Genomic DNA, 18603 nt, shown 5'->3' with positions numbered 1-18603 from the left:
CAGACTTGGGATTTACACACCAATTGATTTCTTCACAGTTCTAGAGGCTAGGAGTCTGAGATCAAGGTGCAGGCAGGGCTGGTTTCTCCGGAGCTGCCTCTCTGGCTCACAGCTGGCCATCTTCTCCCTGTGTCCTCACACCGTCATTCCTCCGTATGTGTCCGTGCCCTAATCTCCTCTTCCTTTTTTTTTTTTTTTTTGAGACGGAGTCTTATTGTATCGCCCAGGCTGGAGTGCAATGGCACGATCTCAGCTGTCTGCAATCTCTGCCTTCCAGGTTCAAGCGATTCTCCTGCCTCAGCCTCCAGAGTAGCTGGGATTACAGGTGCCCACCACCAAGCCCGGCTATTTTTTGTATTTTTGGTAGAGACAGGGTTTCACCATGTTGGCCAGGCTGGTCTCAAACTCCTGACCTGATGATCCACCCACCTCAGCCTCCCAAAGTGCTAGGATTACAGGCGTGAGTCACTGCGCCTGGTCTTTTTTTTTTTTTTTTTTTTTTTTTTTTTTTTTTTTTTTTTTTTTAGACGGAGTTTTGCTCTTGTCACCCAGGCTGCAGTACAATGGTACGATCTTGGCTCACTGCAACCTCCATCTCCCGGGTTCAAGCAATTCTCCTGCCTTAACTTCCCAAGTAGCTGGGATTACAGGCGTGCACCCCCACACCTGGCTAGTTTTGTATTTTTAGTAGAGATAAGGTTTCACCATGTTGGCCAGGCTGGTCTCGAAGTCCTGACATCAGGTGATCAGCCTGCCTCGCCCTCCCAAATCACTGGGATTATGGGCATGAGTGACTGTGCCCGGCCCCTTTTTTTTTTTTTTTTAGACAGGGTCTTGTTCTGTTGCCCAGGCTGGAGTGCAGTAGCACAATCAGGGCTCACTGCAGCCTCAACCTCCTGGGCTCAAGCAATCCTCTCACCTCAGCCTCCTGAGTAGCTAGGACCACAGGTGTGTGCCACCATGCCCAGCTAGTTTTTAAATTTTTTGTAGAGACAGGGTCTTGCCATGTTCCCCTGGCTTGTTTCGAACTCCTGACCTCAAACAATCTGCCCATCTCTGCATCCCAAAATGCTGGGGTTACAGGCATGAGCCACCATGCCTGGCCCCTCAGCTCCTTTTGAACTCTGCCAGGAGGGGCCTGGAGCAGGGTTCTGGGAAGCCCCATCAAGACAGCGTGACTGTTCCTCCGGTGAAGCTCAGTTTCTTAGCTTCTTTCCTTCCTTGGGCACAGAGACAGGCTTCTCCCGGGAGCGGAGAATGAGGGCCTGCACTCCAGCCTCAGTGGATCAATTCATCTTCAGCCTTCTGATCCGCAATCTTATTTTGAGCTCCCACGGCTGAAGCAATTCATCTCACCCATGCAGAGGGATGGGGAGAAGCTGAGAGTGTTGACACCCACCTGTGTTTTCTGGCACCTGAGTGACCCGAGACCTGCACTGGAGGGGAAGGGGAGGAGCCAACCTTTCGTTTAGTTGCTTGGAACTGCTTCAGATTAAATTCTCCCAGGGCAGGAGAGAGCTGCTGGGCCTGAGGATGTGGGGGTCCCCAGCACTTGCCTGGTAAGTGTCCCTTATTCAGGAATTGGGAGAAGCCAGTGGCATGCTTAGTGTGCCCACACTCCTTGAAGAAGCCAAATATCTTCCATCAGAATCAGAAGCCTTGCATCTAAGAGGGAAGGGGGCCAAATGGGTGAGGGGCCCAGATGCATGGATGCCTTGGGAAGGGCTGACTTTCTCAGGTGAGGTCCGGCCACAGTCTCTCCCACCTTTCTCATGCTCCTGTCATCCCTTGTTCTGGAATTCCAGTCCTCCCATCTTGGGAAGGATTTCCAGAAGATTGGGAGAAAACAGAACACGTCTTCCTTGTCCTAGAGGGTCCTTAAAACAAAACAAATTAGGGGTCAAGTTGACCAAGAGATGCTTGATTTCAAGGAGTTTTCAAATGATAGGAGTTGTGGTCGCTAGCTATTCGATTGTAAGGATTAGGAGAAAATTTCATTTTCCTTCCTTCCCTCCCTTCCTTCCTTCCCTCCCTGCCTTCCTTCCTTTCTCCTTCCTTCCTTCCCTTTCCTTTCTTTTCTCTTTCTCTCTCTCTCTCCCTCTCTGTCTCTCCTTCTTCCTGAGATAGAGTCTTGCTCTGTTGCCCAGGCTGGAGTGCAGTGGCAAGATCATAGTTCACTGTCATCTCTTAACTCCTGGGCTCAAGTGATCATCCCACTTTAGCCTCCTGAGTAGCTGGGACCATAGGCATGTGCCACCACACTTTGGTAATTTTTTAATTTTTTTGTAGAGACAGGGTCTTACTGTGTTGCCCAGGCTGGTCTTAAACTCCTGGGTTCAAGCCATCCTCCTGTCTCGGCCTCCCAAAGTATTGGGATTACGGGCATGACTCACTGCACTTGGCCAAAATCTCATTTTCCTTGGCAACAGAATTGCTACCTCTTTTCCCCATCTGAGATGCATTTTTAAGAGATACTTTAAAAAGCTCCTGAGAGTGGGAAGTGAAGCCTCCCAGGCCAGCTGGAATGTCACAATAGCTGGCTTGTGGCCTTTGGGCCGTGGACTGCAGGGCTTTTGTTGGGCGTTTTGTGAGGTTGAAGTCTGTAGACAATGAAGGCAGTGGAGAAGCTGAGTGGGGCTTTGTGGGGCTGGGCGAGCAAGGGGGAGGTCCGGGCCCTGTCCTGGGGACCCATTGCCTTCTCCTGGATGCCCCATGAGGGGGCTCAGCTTTGGGGGATGGAGCATCATGTCTCCCCCCAGACTGGGATGGGGCAGTTCTGGGTCTGAGAAGTGAGGGGGAAAAACCCAAACCCACATCTTTCTCCCGATTGATGCTCAAGGAGGAGAACAGGAGCAGGCATCAGACGGAGGGGAGAGCTGTCTACCCCCCACCTGCCACCGGGCCGATTCCAGACAGCATTCCCTGTGTAACAGCAGAGTCGGGGTCCCTGGCAAGGCCGGGACTCAGCACCAGAGTCAGCCACTTTCCTTTTCCCCAAGATTATTCTTCTGGTCCTGTCTCAGATTTACTCGCTCTGGGAGAACCTTCCTTCAAGACCAATTGCCCCAGCCAGGTTTTTGTTTTGCAAATTAATCAACTAATAATAGCGCCTCCCCGCTGCTGGGAGAGGAATTCCGCATTGGGCTCAGTGTCCAGGCAGCAGAGCCCAGGGCGGGTACCCGGCCGTCCATGGGAGAGGCTCGCCACAGGCGCTTCTGAATTCAGCGAATGAAGCGGGGCAGCGGGGCAGCCAGGCAGCCGCAAGCTCCTCCCAGCTCAAAGGCTGCAGGCTCAGCTTAGATTCCAGGCTGGGGAACCAGTCCTGTCATTCTTTGCCAACCCACTCTGGGGAGACTGTGGGCCCTGGCATTTGGCCTCCCTGGGCTGGGCCTGAGGCCCTGGCCCTCTGCCCACCCAGGAATCGAATGGCTCAACGAGGGCAGCCCTAGAAGGAAATGCAGCACCCATTCCTGCCTTTTCACATTGCTTTTTAAACTGTTAACTTTCTTTCTTTCTTTTTTTTGAGACGGAGTTTTGCTCTTGTTGCCCAGGCTGGAGCGCAATGGTGAGATCTCGGCTCACCACAACCTCCACCTCCCAGGTTCAAGCGATTTTCCTGCCTCAGCCTCCTGAGTAGCTGGGATTACAGGCATGCGCCACCGCACCTGGCTAATTTCGTATTTTTAGTAGAGATAGGGTTTCACCATGTTGGCTAGGCTGCTCTCAAACCCCTGACCTCAAGTGATCCGCCCGCCTCCGCTTCCCAAAGTGCTGGGATTACAGGCGTGAGCCACTGCACCCGTCCAATAGTAGTTTCTTTCTTTTCATTGCAGTTCAGTATTCCATTGTAGGAGTAGACCACAATGGGTCCATTCTACCACTGCTGGGCGCTGGGGTGGTTTCCAGGTTACAGGAAATAATAGCACTGCTGTCAACAGTCTTGCACGTGTCCTCTGATGCCCTTGTGCTTGCCTTGCAGTTGGAGAGGAAGCGCTGGGTCGAAGGGTGGAGGAATGTTCAGTCTTAGTAGATTCTACCAGTTCCCAAGAGTGGTTGAACCAACCTCACTCCCGCCAGGAGGCAGGAGCTTTCTCAATGCTCCACATTCTGCCAATCTCTCCCTGTCATTCTTTCTTTCCAGCTTCTGGCTTCAGGATTATTTCCTGAACTCCTCTAAGGAAAGCTTCTTTGTGGGAAGTTTAGGTTCTTGCCTGCAGTCATTTTAAATAGTTGGAGTCTCAGCTGCCCGAAGAGTCTTTTAAAATGTGAGATCCTTGCCCTGGGTGCGGTGGCCCACACCTGTAATCCCAGCATTTTGAGAGGCTGAGGTGGGCGAATAACTTGAAGCCAGGAGCTCAAGACCAGCCATGGCCAACATGGTGAAACCCCCGACTCTACTAAAAATACAAAAATTAGCCAGGCGTGGTGGCACACGCCTGTAATCCTAGCTACTCAGGAGGCTGAGGCACGAGAATCACTTAAATCTGAGAAGCAGAGATTGCAGTGAGCCGAGACTGTGCCACTGCACTCCAGCCTGGGTGACAGAGTGAGATACTCAGTCTCAAAAAAGAAAAAAAAAGTGAGATCCTCTTCCTTCCCTGCTTAGAGTTCTCCAGGGCTTCCCACAATTTTTTATGGTAAAACCCCAGCCTGCACCCCTGGCCATGGCTCCTGCCTGCCCCTCTCCTTTTTGCCCACCAGCGGCCCCTCTGTCACTGGCTCTAGTTCCACTGACCTTCTTTTGAGTCCTTAAACACAAACACACCAAACTCATTTCCGACTGTTTGCTGTGCACTGACTATTTCCTCTGCTGAGGAATGCCCTTCCCCAGGTCTTTGCATGGGACTCTTTCTTTTTTTTTGAGACAGGGTCTCGCTTTGTTACCCAGGCTGGAGTGCAGTGGGACAATCATTGCTCATTGCAACCTAGACCTCCCAGGCTCAAGCAATCCTCCCACCTCAGCCTCCTGAGTAGCTGGGACCACAAGCGCATGCCACCACACCAGGTTAATTTTAAAATCTTTTTGTAGACATCGAGTCTTGCTATTTTGCCCAGGCTGGTCTCAAACTCCTGGGCTCAAGTGATCCTCCTGCCTCAGTCTCCCAAAGTGTTGGGATTATAGGCATAAGCCACCATGCCCAGCGGGACTCCGTGACATACATACCATCTTGGTTCAACTGTCACCTCTCAGTGATGTTTTACCTGACATAAAGAAATTTGGGGGCTCGGTGCAGTGGCTCACGCCTGTAATCCCAGCACTTTGGGAGACTGAGGTGAGTGGGTCGCTTGAGCTTAGGAGTTTGAGACCAGCCTGGGCAACATGGTGAAACCCCATCTCTACAAAAAAAATACTAATAAATTAGCCGGGCGTGGTGGCTAACTTTTTTTTTTTTTTTTTACTGTGGAGTTTTGTTCTTGTCACCCAGGCTGGAGTGGTACAATGTCACGCTCTCAGCTCACTGCGACTTCCGCCTCTCGGGTTCAAGCGATTCTCCTGCCTCAGCCTCCTGAGTAGCTGGGATTACATGCGTGTGCCATCACGCCTGGCTAATTTTTGTATTTTTAGTACAGACGAGGTTTTGCCATGTTGACCAGTTTGGTCTTAAACTCCTGACCTCAGGTGATCTGTCAGCCTCAGCCTCCAAAGTGCTGGGATTACAGGCGTGAACCACAGCGCCTGGCAAAAACAGAAATTTGGAATAAACAAAAATATTATTTTTAAAGGTTACTGGTGTCTTCAATGGAAAACTAAGCATTATTTGGAGAAGAGGGTTCCTGCTGTCTAACTCCAGCCTTTCATCACCTTTGTGCTATCTTATGGTGCTCTAAGTCATAGAGAACCTATGGCAATGCAACCAATTCCTGCCTATGGACACGCAAATAAATTTCATGGGGGAGGTTCCATTGGCTTCCCTTCCCCACTGTGGAAGAAGCCAGTTTGGTGTCTATTTGCATCCTGATCTAGAAATGTATCTGTTCTTTCTTCTCCTTTGAACTGGTTGTAACCTCTGCCTGGTTCCCTCACTAATAATGAGTTAATAAAATCTTTAATACAGATTCATCATTTTATTTATTTATTTATTTATTGGAGATGGAGTCTTACTCTGTCATGCAGGCTGGAGTGCAGTGGCGTGATCTCATCTCACTGCAATCTCCGCCTACTGGGCTCAAGCAATTCTCTTGTCTCAGCCTCCCGAGTAGCTGGGATTACAGGCGCACGCCACCACGCCCGGGGAATTTTTGTATTTTAGTAGAGACGGGGTTTCACCATGTTGGCCAGGCTGGTCTTGAACTCCTGATCTCAGGTGATCTGCCCGCCTCGGCCTCCCAAAGTGCTGGGATTATAGGCACGAGATTCATCATTTAAAATCTTTTTGAGGCCAGGCATGGTGGCTCACACCTGTAATCCCAGCACTAGGGTCTCACTGTAGTCCTCCAGGCTGGAGTACAGTGGTGCAATCACTGCTCACTATAGCCTTGACTTCCCGGGCCCAGGTGATCCTCCCACCTCAGCCTCCTGAGTAGCTGAGACTACAGGCATGCGCCACCATGCCCAGCTAATGTTTTATAGTTTTAATAGAGACAGGGTTTCACCATGTTGCCCAGGCTGATCTTGAACTCCTGGGCTCAAGCCATCCCCCGCTGCCTCAGCATCCCAAAGTGTTGGGATTACAGCTGTGAGCCCTCGCACCCGGCCTAAAATCTATGTTGCCTTTTTTGAGGATGATCTTTTCACACTGACCTCCCCATCAGAGGTCCTCTCAGGCTCTCTGTATCTCACCACTCTGTTTCATTTTCTTCTGAGCCTGATTATTATCTGAGATTATTTTGTTCTTCTATTTCTTTACTTATGGGTTTTTTTTTTTTTTTCGTCTCTTGGCCATTGTGCATAGTAGGCACTCAAAAGAAATATAACGAGTGGGCGGGACGCGGTGGCTCACGCTTCTAATCCCAGCACTTTGGGAGGCCGAGGCGGGTGGATCACGAGGTCAGGAGTTTAAGACCAGCCTGGCCAAGATGGTGAAACCCCATCTCTACTAAAAATACAAAAATTAGCCGGGCGTGGTGGCATGTGCCTGTAATCCCAAGCTACCTGGGAGGCTGAGGCAGAGAACTGCTTAAACCGGGGAGGCGGAGGTTGCAGTGGGCGGAGGTTGCAGTGAGCTTAGATCGCGCCACTGCACTCCAGCCAGGGTGACGGAGCGAGACTCCGTCTCAGAAAAAAAAAAAAAAGAAATATAATGAGTGAATGAAGGTAGATGAGGCAGCAGCTGGGCGGTGCATGTCCCCACCCCCTTCCCTCCTCTCCCGCAGGGCCGTCTGGCTTGCCTGTGTTCAGCCCACGGTGTTCCCATGGAGCCTCTCCTTCAGGTCAGACACGGACAAGCCAAGCTCTGCAGCAGAAGTTTTAACAGGTGAATCAATCACACTTTTATGGTTGGCATCAGGCTTTGGATATTTCCCCAATGAGCAGACTGAGAACCAACCTGCTGGGTGACACTGGGCAACTTTGGAAGCGAGAAAGCCTTCCAAAGCCTTCACCAAAGCGTGGATTTCAGGCTGTCATTCTCCCAACAAGGAAGCGGCATTCCTGCAGGCCGAGTGCTGGAGCTCACGTGGCTAGCTGGGCCTGGCATCCTCTGACTCAGAGCTCGGTGCTTGTTTCAATAATTAAAACCAGCACAGGGAGCGTGTGTCGTGTGCCGGGCCTGTCTTGGGGGATTTGTGTCTATTAACTCATTCTAACAAGACTTTTAGATGATGACGCGAAGTCCAGAGGAGTGAGTGACTTGTCTAAGGTCCCATAGCAATGAGTAGCAGAGCCAGGATTTCACCCTCCAGAGCCCCTGCACTTAGCCACCCCGCAAACAGATGACACTGTGGGAGTAACATGTCTTTGTTGAGCGCTTACTCTGGGCTTGGCCCTGTGCTGAGGGTTCACATGCATCATCTCATTTCATTTCCTTTTTTTTTTTTTTTCTGAGACAGAGTCTCGCTTTGTTGCCCAGGCTGTAGTGCAGTGGTGTGATCTCAGCTCACTGCAATCTCCACCTCCCAGGTTCCAGTGATTCTCCAGCCTCAGCCTCCTGAGTGGCTGGGACTACAGGTGTGCACCACCACACCTGGCTAATTTTTGTGTTTTTTTTTTTTTTTTTTTTTTTTCTGAGACAGAGCTTAGCTCTTGTCGCCCAGGCTGGAGTGCAGTGGCACAACTTCGGCTCACCACAACCTCTGCTCCCGGGTTGAAGCGATTCTCCTGCCTCAGCCTCCCGAGTAGCTGGGATTATAGGCATGAGCCACCACGCCTGGCTAATTTTTGCATTTTTAGTAGAGACGGGGTTTCGCCATGTTAGCCAGGCTGGCCTCGAACTCCTGACCTTGTGATCCACCCGCCTCGGCCTACCAGAGTGCTGGGATTACAGGCATGAGCCACCGCGCCCGGCCCAATTTTTGTATTTTTAGTAGAGGCGGGGTTTCATCATGTTGGCCAGGCTGATCTTGAACTCTTGACCTCCAGTGATCTGCCTGCCTTTGCTTCCCAAAGTGCTGGGATGACAGGCGTGAGCCACCATGCCCAGCCCTCATTTCATCTTCTTGATGTCAGTGAAGGGGGGGCTATTTTTGTGCTACAAGGTTCAAGAGTCTCCAACACTATCTTCACTATTGACAGCAACTTCAAGTTCAAGGGAGCCCAATACCACCTTCAGGTTTGATAATTTACCAGAAGGACCCATAGAGCTCAGAAAAGCTGTGTTACTTATGGTTAAATGCCATGGGTTAAAATCAGCCAAGGGAAGAGGTGTACGGGGTGCAGTACAGGAGATACCCAGGGGCAAACTTCTGTTACGGGATCTCTGGGGTGTCATTTTTCTGGCCGGAAACCTCTGTGGCCGCTGGCACCTTTGCCTGAGTTCTTGGAGTTCTTGTCCTGTGTCCAGGAAGAATGAGGTACACAGACAAGTGAAGAGTGAAGAAGGGGAAGAGTTTTATTTAGCGTTAGAACAGCTCAGAGGAGTGGGTAGCTCCTCTCTGTAGGCAGGTCTTCCCACGGAGTGTTCAGCTCTCAGCAGAGAGGAGGCCCTGGAGAGGGTGGCTTCTCTCCACAGGCAAGTCTTTCGGACGTCTCTGCAGGTCTCTGCAGCTGTCAGCAGAGCGGTTAGCTTTTCTCTGCCCACTGGTCGTCCCACCCTCTACTGCTCTCAGCAGAGAGGGTACTCAACTCATCCCATCGCCTCTCTGCGCTCGTCTTCCTGTGGCCGTCCTCTGCCTGACTTTGGCTGTGCCCTGGGCTTTTATGGACCTCAAAGGGGAGAAAGTGTGTGCTGATTGGTCCATGGGCAGCTATGGGCCAGCCAGAAAGAGGCACCACGAGTCCCTACTCCAGTCCAGGGGACTGGCAGCCCGGCCCGCAGCCCTGGCCCTCCCTGGCCCACAGGTGGGGCCTTACTGGGGACCTGCCCCATTCCACCCAGGAATCAATCAGCCTCCCACTGCCATTCATGGCTCACAGGCTTGGCCCCAAACCCCCTAAGAGCTCTGAGCAGGCCCCTAGAGTGGAGAGAGGCCAGGCAGCAGAAGACACCCCTGAGCTTGCAGAGACTTGGTGGGGGGGGTCCTTCCTGGGGTCCCCGAGGGTGCAGGCTGCAGAGACACCCAGCTCCTGGGCCTGGGAAGGCAGCTGCCGCTGCACCCGGGAAGGCAGATCCTGCCTGCTCCTAGCCCTCCCCCAAGAGCACAAGGAGGCTCCGATCCACAGCTGCAGTTTGGGCAGCTGTAGCCCCATCCAGGAGGGTGGGGCTCCTGCCTGCTCCACAGAGCAGGAGGCCTGGATCTGCAGCTGCGGTTTGGGAGGTTGCCGAGGCACCCAAGGAGTTCCCGTCCCAACTCAGAAGGGGCGGGGCTCCCACCAGCTCCATAGAGTGTTCGACCCCAGCCACACCTCCCTGCTGCAGCCAGTGTGATGGCAGCAGCCACTGCCACCACTTCTAGGTGCCCTTTCCTCGTGGGGTTGTACAGACGGGGCCAGCTTCTCTCAGCAGCGATGAGTGACAATACATACAGAGTATGCAGACCTGAGAAGAGCTCCTGAGCCTTCCTATCCAGAGGGTTTACTGGAGGTCAGTTGCATAGCCATGGCTGACTACCCACGTGGCTGACTTTAGTCTTTTTAAAATTTTTATTTTGTTTTTAATTTTTTGAGACAGAATCTCGCTCTGCCATCCAGGCTGGAGTGCAGTGGTATGATCTCTGCCCACTGCAGCCTCCACCTCCCAGGTTCAAGCGATGCTCCTGCCTCAGCTTCCCGAGTAGCTGGGATTACAGGCACCCGCAACCACGCCCAGCTAATTTTTGTATTTTTAGTAGAGACGGGGTTTCACCATGTTGGCCAAGCTGGTCTCGAACTCTTCACCTCAAGTGATCTGCCCACTTCGGCATCCCAGAGTGTTGGGATTACAGGCGTGAGCCACTGCACCTGGCCTGACTTTAGTCTTGAGCCCCTCCAGAGGCTGAACTGATTACCACATGGTCCAAGGCCACCAGCATTAATCACGTTTTCAGCAAAGGCTATACGGCAAGGCCCAATGCCCCAGGTAAACAGACACTCTTTTTTTTTTTATTTTAAATTTTTACTTATTTATTTTAGAGATGGGGGGGGCATCTCGCTATGTTGCCCAGGCTGGTCTTGAACTCCTAGACTCGAGTGATCCTCCTGCCTCAGCCTCCCAAAGTGCTGGGATTACAGGCATGAGCCACCACACCCAGCCACAGAGACACTCTTAACAGGCAAAACATTCCAAGGGCTTAGAATTTACTTCCCAGTTGCTTTCACCCAGGAGGGGCAAAGGGCCAATTCTTTGGACCCAAGTTAATTATTTACTGCACATGTGCCCATTTTGCAGAAAAGGAAATGGGGTCTTGGAGAGATTAAATGACTCGCCCCAGGTCACATAGGTTGATCCAGGGTCTAAGCCCTGATCATCCAACTCCAGGGCCCAGGTGCCTTGTGTTCTTCCTGGTGGCTTAAATGTCTCTGTTGAGAGAGAAATTAGCCCGACAATATTATTCCATATTCCCATTTCTTCAGTTGTAGAATAATTCTAGAGTGTGTGTGTGTGTGTGTGTGTGTGTGTGTGTGTGTGTGTGTGTGTATTTCAGAGACAGGGTCTTGCTAGGTTGCCCAGGCTGGAGTGCAGTGGCATTCACAGGCATGATCATCGCACACTAAAACCTCAACTTACTGGGTAAAGGCGATCCTGCTGCCTCATCTTCCAGAGCAGCTGAGTCTACAGATGTGCACCACTGTGCCCAGCTTGGAGTATATTTAACTTAAGCTCTCTATCAACTCTGGGCAGGGCTCTATTGGGGGAAATAGGTTACATCCAACAGGATTCCACTTCCTGGGGCTGAACAATCTCACGATGCTGTTGTTCTTGTGTGATTACAGAAAACTCCAGTGTTCTGTACTAGAGTACTTGGGATGAAAACATGTGCCTAACCCATATTTAGCACGCCTCTGTGGATGCCACGCACAGGGCAAGGTGTTGGGGATGCCATGGTGAACAGGTTAGACATAACTCACGCCTTTTCCTGGAGCTTGTAGTTTATGTGTCATGGGGGAGAAGGAAAAAGACAAATCTCTGGGTCATGGCTTCTCTTATTCTCCAGCTTCAGGGCAGGTCAGGCTCCAGCCACAGCCCTTTGCTGGACAGATACTGAGCAGTTGCTGGCCAACAGGCACTGGTCCATGGGAGGACCCTGGGGATAGAGTGGTCAACAAGGCAGACATGGCCCCTCTCCTTCCTGAGCTTCTCTTTGCCTCAGTGCGAGACAACCTTATCTCCATCTATCCTCACTCGAGTAGAAGTATACAGAAATCTCACAAACAACTAGGTAACATATTCCCAACAGTGATTCAAGTCAGGAAGGAAAGAGACACAGGACCAGGGTAGAGAATGGGTGGGGGTGGTCAGTGAGGACCTCCCAGAGGAGGTGACATTTAAGCTGAGACCTGCAGATGAAGAAGAGCTAGCCACATGAAGAGTTGGGAATGGTGTTTCAAGCAGAGGGAACAGTATGTGCAGAGGCCCTGAGGTAGAGAAAAGACCAGCTTGGCTCAGGAACACATGGATTGTGGAAGTGTTTGGATTTTATTCCAAGGGTAGTGGGGAGCCATTGAAGGTTCTGAGAAGGGACTGACATGATCTCATTTCCATTTTAAGATCCCTTGTGGCTGCCGTGTCAAGAATGGACTGGGGCAGGATGGGCAGAGGCTGGGGTCAGGGGTGACCAGGACATTGCGCACTGCCTCTCCCCTCTGGTCTGGGCACAGGCTGTGCTCTCTGCCTGGAGTGGTCAGCAAAGCTGCAGAATTCCATGGCTGAGCCAGTTTGCCCCTACTCTACCTTTTCTTTTTTTTTTTTGAGGTGGAGTCTTGCTCTGTCGCTTAGGCTGGAGTGTAGTGGCGCCATCTCGGCTCACTGCAGCCTCTGCCTCTTGAGCTCACAGTCTTTCCGCCTCACCTCCTGAGTAGCTGGGACCACAGGCATGCACCACGATGCTCCGCTAATTTAAACAAAAAATTTTTTTCTTAGAGATGGGGGGTCTTGCTTTGGCCCAGGCTGGTCTCGAACTTCTGAGCTTAAGCAATCTGCTCTCCTCAGCCTCCCAAAGTCCTGGGATTACAGGTATGAGCCCCCATGCCTGGCGAGTACTCATATATGTACCATGAAGTCACCTTGCTCCCTGTCTCCCCCTATAAAACATAGAGTTTAGATTTAATGACCTCCAAGACTTTGCTACTCAAAGTGTTGTCCCTGGACCAGCAGCCATCACTTGGGAACTTGGTAGAACTGCTGAATCTCAGGCCCCGCCTTAGACCTACTGAATCTGTATTTTAACAAGTGCTCAGGTTACTTGTAGGCACACTGGAAATCTTTTTTTTTGAGTCAGAGTTTCGCTGCCACCCAGGCTGGAGTGCAGTGGTGTGATCTCGGCTCACTGCAACCTCTGTCTCCCAGGTTCAAGCGATTCTCCTGCCTCAGCCTCCTGAGTAGCTGCGATTACAGGCATGCGCCACCACGCCTGGCTAATTTTTGTATTTTTTAGTAGAGACGGAGTTTCACCGTGTTGGCCAGGCTGGTCTCGAACTCCTGGCCTCAAGTGATCCACCCGCCTCGGTCTCCCAAAGTGTTGGGATTACAGGCATGAGCCACCGTGCCCAGCCTGCAGGCTGGAATTTGAGGACCTCCCCAACAAGTTCTTCCTCCTTGGGCATTCTGTGAACTGTGACCTCTGTATGGAGTAAAGGGTCACTCTGTTAGGACAATATGACCCCTACATGCCCTTTCCTGACTATTCCATTGAAGCCAGGCTGAGAGGAGCTCCTTCTTTTCCTTCCTTCCTTCCTTCCTTTCTTCCTTCCTTCCTTCCTTCCTCCCTCCCTTCCCCACCTCCCTCCCTCCTCCTTCCTTCCTTCTCAGAAGCATCTTCTTGTTGGACAGACACAGTTGAGTGCTTCTCAGACTACATGACCCTGTGGATCCCAAGGAGCCACGTGGAGGGGCTGAGGCGGTGGCTGGCCAGGACCTTGCACTTGCCAGGTAAGAGGTGGTCGGTGGCTGGGCGGGGTCTTTGCTGGGGCTTTTGTGTTGCCTTCCCCTGCCTGCAATGCTCCTCCCCCATGGCTCTTGCAGGTTCCTGGGCATCACTCAAATCTCTGCTCAAAGGCCACCTCCCCCCACAGCCCTTCCAGGCTCTCTAAAGTCGTCCACGCCCACCCCAGTCACAATCCCGGCACTCCTCACTAGTAAGATGATCTCCTGCCATTGTTCCCAAGCTTGTCATCTGCGCCCCTCTTCCCAACAGAAGGCAGCACTGTGAGGGCACGGCCCACGTGCTTTTTGTTTACAGCTGCATCTTCAGAACCAAGAACACTGCCTGGTGCTTAGAAGATTCCCAATAAATATTTGTTGAATGAACAAGTGGCCCAAAGCCCTGGAAGAAGCGCCCATCTGGTGCCGCTATGCTCCAAAATCGAAATCACTCTGCAAAAGTGGAAGTGAGACTAAAGGGGTGATTCTCAAACACTTGGGAGAAATGGGAGGCCATCACATGCTTGGTGGGGGAAGAGCGCACCTAAAATAGCAAACAACAAGGGGCATAGTGTCACTTCCAGAAACCTTTCTGCCATGAGCTTTCCAACAGAAGGAGTAGGAAAGCATTGGATGTCTTCAGCGTACCTGGAACCTTCTGGAACCTTCTGGAGGGAACACGAGTAGAGAGAGGAGCAAATAGCTTGCTTCCCTCCATGCTCTGCATCTCGGTGGCTGCAAAGCAAGCCCCCAGGTTCCTCCTCTCTTTTGCACAGAAAAAGAGATATTGAGGAGGGAGGCTTTCCAATCTCACCCAAGTCTAGGAAAACCTCCTAGGGACCCTGCTCATTCTGGAAATTCCTAAAGCACCTTCTGGGACCGGTAGGGCCTAAATCTGCCCTGGGAGGGCCAACCACCCATTGGCCAGCCAGCCCGGGACGCCTTGGGAGAGACATTTGTGTATTAAAAGGCCACTTTTCCAGGAGAAAAGCTGTGGATACATTAAGCTGTCGCCTGTTCTTTGGAGAGCCATTATTAATGGAAAACAATAGATTAATAGTCTTAAAACGCTTGTTCAATAAGTAATTTTTATGGCTTTGGATAGAGCCCATTAAACATTTCTGTGTGTTATTATAAAGAAGTTTTAAGCGTAAAATCATAAAGCCAATAATCAGAGAATTAGTCACAGCGGCCAGCCACAGGCCATTAGTTTTAGGCGCTGTCAGAGACACCTGTGGCTTTTGAGGAAGAGTTTTCATTTCACGTGGCAGCGCCAGGTGGGGATGGAGAAATGACGGTGCCTGCTGCCTTCCATAAACTTGAGGGGACAGCAAGCAGGTGTGAGCAGCAGGGTGCCAGGCAAATATTTACAAAGTGCAAACGTGAATGCAAAACTAAAACGATCCAGGTCAGTTTGCACATCCAGCTCAGACACTTTATTTCCCCAGCGAGCTACCTTTCACAGTCTTCCTCCGCCAGAGGCACGGCCTTGATCTCTTGCTAAAGATAGCGGTGGAAGCTGCGTGCTTTTGAAAGGAAAGCATGTCACCAGAGAATCCCACGTAGAAAGGCTGCCAGAGCTGTTTTCTGGAATAGCGTATTCATCTTCCATCAAATGCACAGTCGAGTCAAGCATTTGAAAGTGAAACTGTGAGCTTTAAAAATGCTTTAAAAATAATCATGACAGAAGCAATACAAGATAATTACAGAAACTACAGGCAATCCAAAGGAGATAATCAAAACTGCTCGTAATCCCTCTACCCAGAGATAGCCCCCTTTATTTTTCACTCATTCAACAACTACTTATTTATTTATTTATTGAGACGGAGTCTCACTTTGTTGCCCAGGCTGGAGTGCAGTGGTGCAATCTCAGCTCTCTGCAACCTCTGCCCCACGGGTTTAAGCGATTCTTCTGCTTCAGCCTCCAGAGTAGCTGGGACTACAGGTGCCCCCCCACCGCGCCGAACGAATTTTTGTATTTTTATTTGTATTTATTTATTTTTTTGAGACAGAGTCTCACTTTGTTGCCCAGGCTGGAGTGCAGTGGCGCGACCTTGGCGCACTGCAACCTCCGCCTCCTGGGTTCAAGTGATTCTCCTGCCTTAGCCTCCTGAGTAGCTGAGACTACAGGTGCCTGCCACCACTCCCAGCTAATTTTTTTGTATTTTTAGTAGAGACAGGATTTCACCATGTTGGCCAGACTGGTCTCGAACTCCTGGCCTCAAGTGATCCACTCGCCTCGGCCTCCCAAAGTGGAGTGATTATAGGTGTGAGCCACCGTGCCCAGCCTCATTCAACAACTATTTATTGAGAACCTTCTGTGTGCCAGAAACAGCTTGAGGCACTAAAGATGCAGCAATGAACAAAACAGACAAATATCCCTGGCCCCATGGAGCTGACATTTGACTAGAGGGCAATAAACAATCAATATAACAAATAAGCCAGTAAGATAGTTGGTTAGAAGACAATGATTGTGCAGAAAAGGGTGAAGGAGGGCAGGATCGGGGAGTGTTAAGAGGGTAGTCAGGGTGGGCTTCATGGAGAAGGCAACATTTGCACAAGGACTGAAAGGAGGCAGGGGAGTCAGCCATGTGGATATCTAGGAGAAGAGAGTTCCAGGCAGAGGGCACAGCCAGTGCAAGGGCCCTGAGGCAGGACTGGGCCTGGGATGATTGAGAAATAGCAGTGGGTCTGGTGTGTTTGGAGCAGAGGGAGGGAGGGGAAGAGAAGTGGGAAAGGGGGTCAGAGAAGTGAGGGCAGGTCACGTGAGGCTTTCAAGGGCTTTGTTTTTTTTAAGCAATGGAGTTTTTTTTTTTTTTTTTTCTTTTTTTGGACAGTGTTTCACTCCGTCACCCAGGCTGGAGTGCAGTGGCACAATCTTGGCTCACTGCAGCCTCCACCTTCCGGGTTCAAGTGATTCTCGTGCCTCAACCTCCCAAGTAGCTCGAATTACAGGCGGGCACCACCATGCCTGGCTAATTTTTGTATTTTTAGTAGAGATGGGGTTTTGCAGTGTTGGCCGGGTTGGTCTTGAACTCCTGAGCTCAAGTGATCCTCCCACCTCGGCCTCCCAAAGTGCTGGGATTACAGGTGTGAGCCACCGTGCCTGGCCGGCAATGAAGAGGTTTGAGCAGAGGAGAGACACAATCTGCCTACATTTTGAACAGGATCCTGCGGGCTGCTGCATGAAATATACACAACTGGGGCAAAGGAGGAAGCCGGGGGACATGGGAGGAGGCAGCTGCAATGACACAAGCCGAGGATTCACGTGGGGAGATGGGGTTGGATTCTGGATACACCTTGAATGAAGAACCATCGGGCTTTCCTGTTGGTATATGCCTTTCCAGACTTTTAAAAATTACTGCTATTTTTATCCCTTCCAGGTAAGAAGCTTCCAGGCGGAGCAGTTTCTATCTGCGAGTCTGATATTTCTGACCCTGCCAGAGAAGCCACCTCCACAGGCTCAACCCACGTTTCTGTCCCTTTCTCATTCCAGGCACCTGGAGGTCCCCTGACCACCTGGATTCTTCTCTTGCTAAATGTGGCTACTTCCTGCATCTGGCTTCAGACGGTGACTTCCTTTTTCGAGTTCAATACTCGGCCTGCTTTGTGCAGAAAGAGGTGGGTTTGGGAAACTTTTCTTTTTTTTTTTTTAAAGGGAGATTTAAGGAGCTAAGCCTGAGCTCAGATATCAAGTAAGGAGACACTGCACCATTATTCCTCTGCAGAAACTGAGCTGAGGGAGACCAGAAGTCTCTGCCCTCATGGAGTTTATGGGCATAGATATTAAAAGGCCGCCCAGCTCAGATGCTGCCTCCTCCAGGCAGTCCTCCTGAGAATCCCCCCTTCTCTGTGCAGTAGACCTGCTTCTATCATTGCCAACACTGACTCATAATGTGCCCACTCACACACCATATCCTGCTGGACCTGGAGTCTCTGGGGTGAGGCAGTCACACCCACAGGCTTGCCTCAGGGCCTGGCACACAGTAGGTACTCAGTAAGTGCTGAATGAAGTGAATAAATGGTGCTGAGGAGTTGCAAAGACTGACTGACAGCCCTCACTTGCACAGGCCCATTATGGGCTCACGAGACCATGTGACTCTAAAATTTACAGAAGCAAGATATTTTTGTATTCTTTTTCCTTTTTTTTTTTTTTTTGACGGAGGCTCGCTCTGGCACCCAGGCTGGAGTGCAGTGACGCAATCTCGGCTCACTGCAACTTCCGCCTCCCAGGTTCAAGCGATTCCCCTGCCTCAGCCTCTGAAGTAGCTGAGACTACTTGGTAAAGGCGGGGTTTCACCTTGTTGGCCAGGCTGGTCTTGAGCTTCTGACCTCAAGTGATCCACCCACCTCGGCCCCCAGAGTAGCTGGGACTACAGGCATGCACCACTACACCCAGGTAATTTTTGTACTTTTTGTAGAAGATGGGGTTTCACCATGTTGCCCAGGCTGGTCTGGAATTCCCAGGCTCAAGCCATCCTCCCGCCTCGGTGTCCCAATGTGTTGAGATGATAGGAATGAGCCACTGTGCCAGCATTCTTGTTACTTAAATTTCACTCCAGGGGTCCTGCAAGGGGACAACCAGCCGCACAGTTTGGCTCACAGTTTTTTTTTTCTTGTCTTTTCCTCACCTCCACTTCCCCTTTCCATTTCTTTGTGCTCCCTTCCTTGACCCAGTCCAGAGTTTTTCCTGAGTGGGGCTGTGGTCTGGAGTGGGGGAAGGAATTTTGGGAACTACCCTGCTCCTCCTCTTTCTCTTCCTCTCTGTGGTCGCCCTTCTCTGACAGCCCCGTCACCCTTCTCAGGCCCCACCGCAAAGCTTAGACTTGGGTTCTTCTTATGTGGCTGAATGAGGGCAGCCTGGGAGGGGCAGAGGGACCCATTGGTTTGACATCTTTGAAGTCCGCCTTGTACCGGAATGAGCTAGACCAGCTCTCACATCTAGTCTCAGAAATGGCCACATGCCTTTGGCTTAGTCATTTACCTTCTCTAAGCCTCAACTGCCTCATCT

At 51.1% G+C, this 18603-nt stretch overlaps 1 protein-coding gene across 6 annotated transcripts in view, besides 3 other annotated features; it reads left to right on the top strand.

Moving 5' to 3' along the window:
• The first annotated feature begins 1494 nt into the window (after positions 1-1494).
• The window catches only part of CIROZ (ciliated left-right organizer protein containing ZP-N domains), a 35602-nt gene continuing 18493 nt past the window's right edge, over positions 1495-18603 (top strand). For 2 of the 6 annotated variants that reach the window (NM_001366227.2, XM_047446828.1), the window contains exons 1-2: positions 16884-16975; positions 17089-17213. Coding sequence is in view for 4 of the 6 variants with exons in the window: in NM_001170754.2 (NP_001164225.1) it covers positions 1534-1559; positions 7315-7415; positions 13482-13601; positions 17089-17213 (372 nt within the window). In the remaining 2 variants the exon portion in view is untranslated. Of the gene's footprint in view, positions 1560-7314; positions 7416-13481; positions 13602-16883; positions 16976-17088; positions 17214-17888; positions 17992-18603 lie in introns of those variants that run through there. The other 4 variants (NM_001170754.2, XM_047446830.1, XM_047446831.1 and 1 more) reach the window with 4 other exon arrangements.
• Positions 14968-15067: a silencer, noted in NCBI's record as "silent region_257". NCBI's record gives its function as "represses an Ori minimal core promoter by ATAC-STARR-seq in GM12878 lymphoblastoid cells {active_cell/tissue: GM12878}" and the evidence as "EXISTENCE:reporter gene assay evidence [ECO:0000049][PMID:35858748]".
• Positions 18186-18245: an enhancer, noted in NCBI's record as "active region_157". NCBI's record gives its function as "activates an Ori minimal core promoter by ATAC-STARR-seq in GM12878 lymphoblastoid cells {active_cell/tissue: GM12878}" and the evidence as "EXISTENCE:reporter gene assay evidence [ECO:0000049][PMID:35858748]".
• Positions 18286-18355: an enhancer, noted in NCBI's record as "active region_156". NCBI's record gives its function as "activates an Ori minimal core promoter by ATAC-STARR-seq in GM12878 lymphoblastoid cells {active_cell/tissue: GM12878}" and the evidence as "EXISTENCE:reporter gene assay evidence [ECO:0000049][PMID:35858748]".

This window comes from Homo sapiens, chromosome 1, assembly GCF_000001405.40.
Source record: "Homo sapiens chromosome 1, GRCh38.p14 Primary Assembly".
NCBI classification, from domain to species: Eukaryota; Metazoa; Chordata; class Mammalia; order Primates; family Hominidae; genus Homo; species Homo sapiens.
Note: the sequence above shows the minus strand (reverse complement) of the source record. Positions and strands in the feature narration are given on the sequence as shown.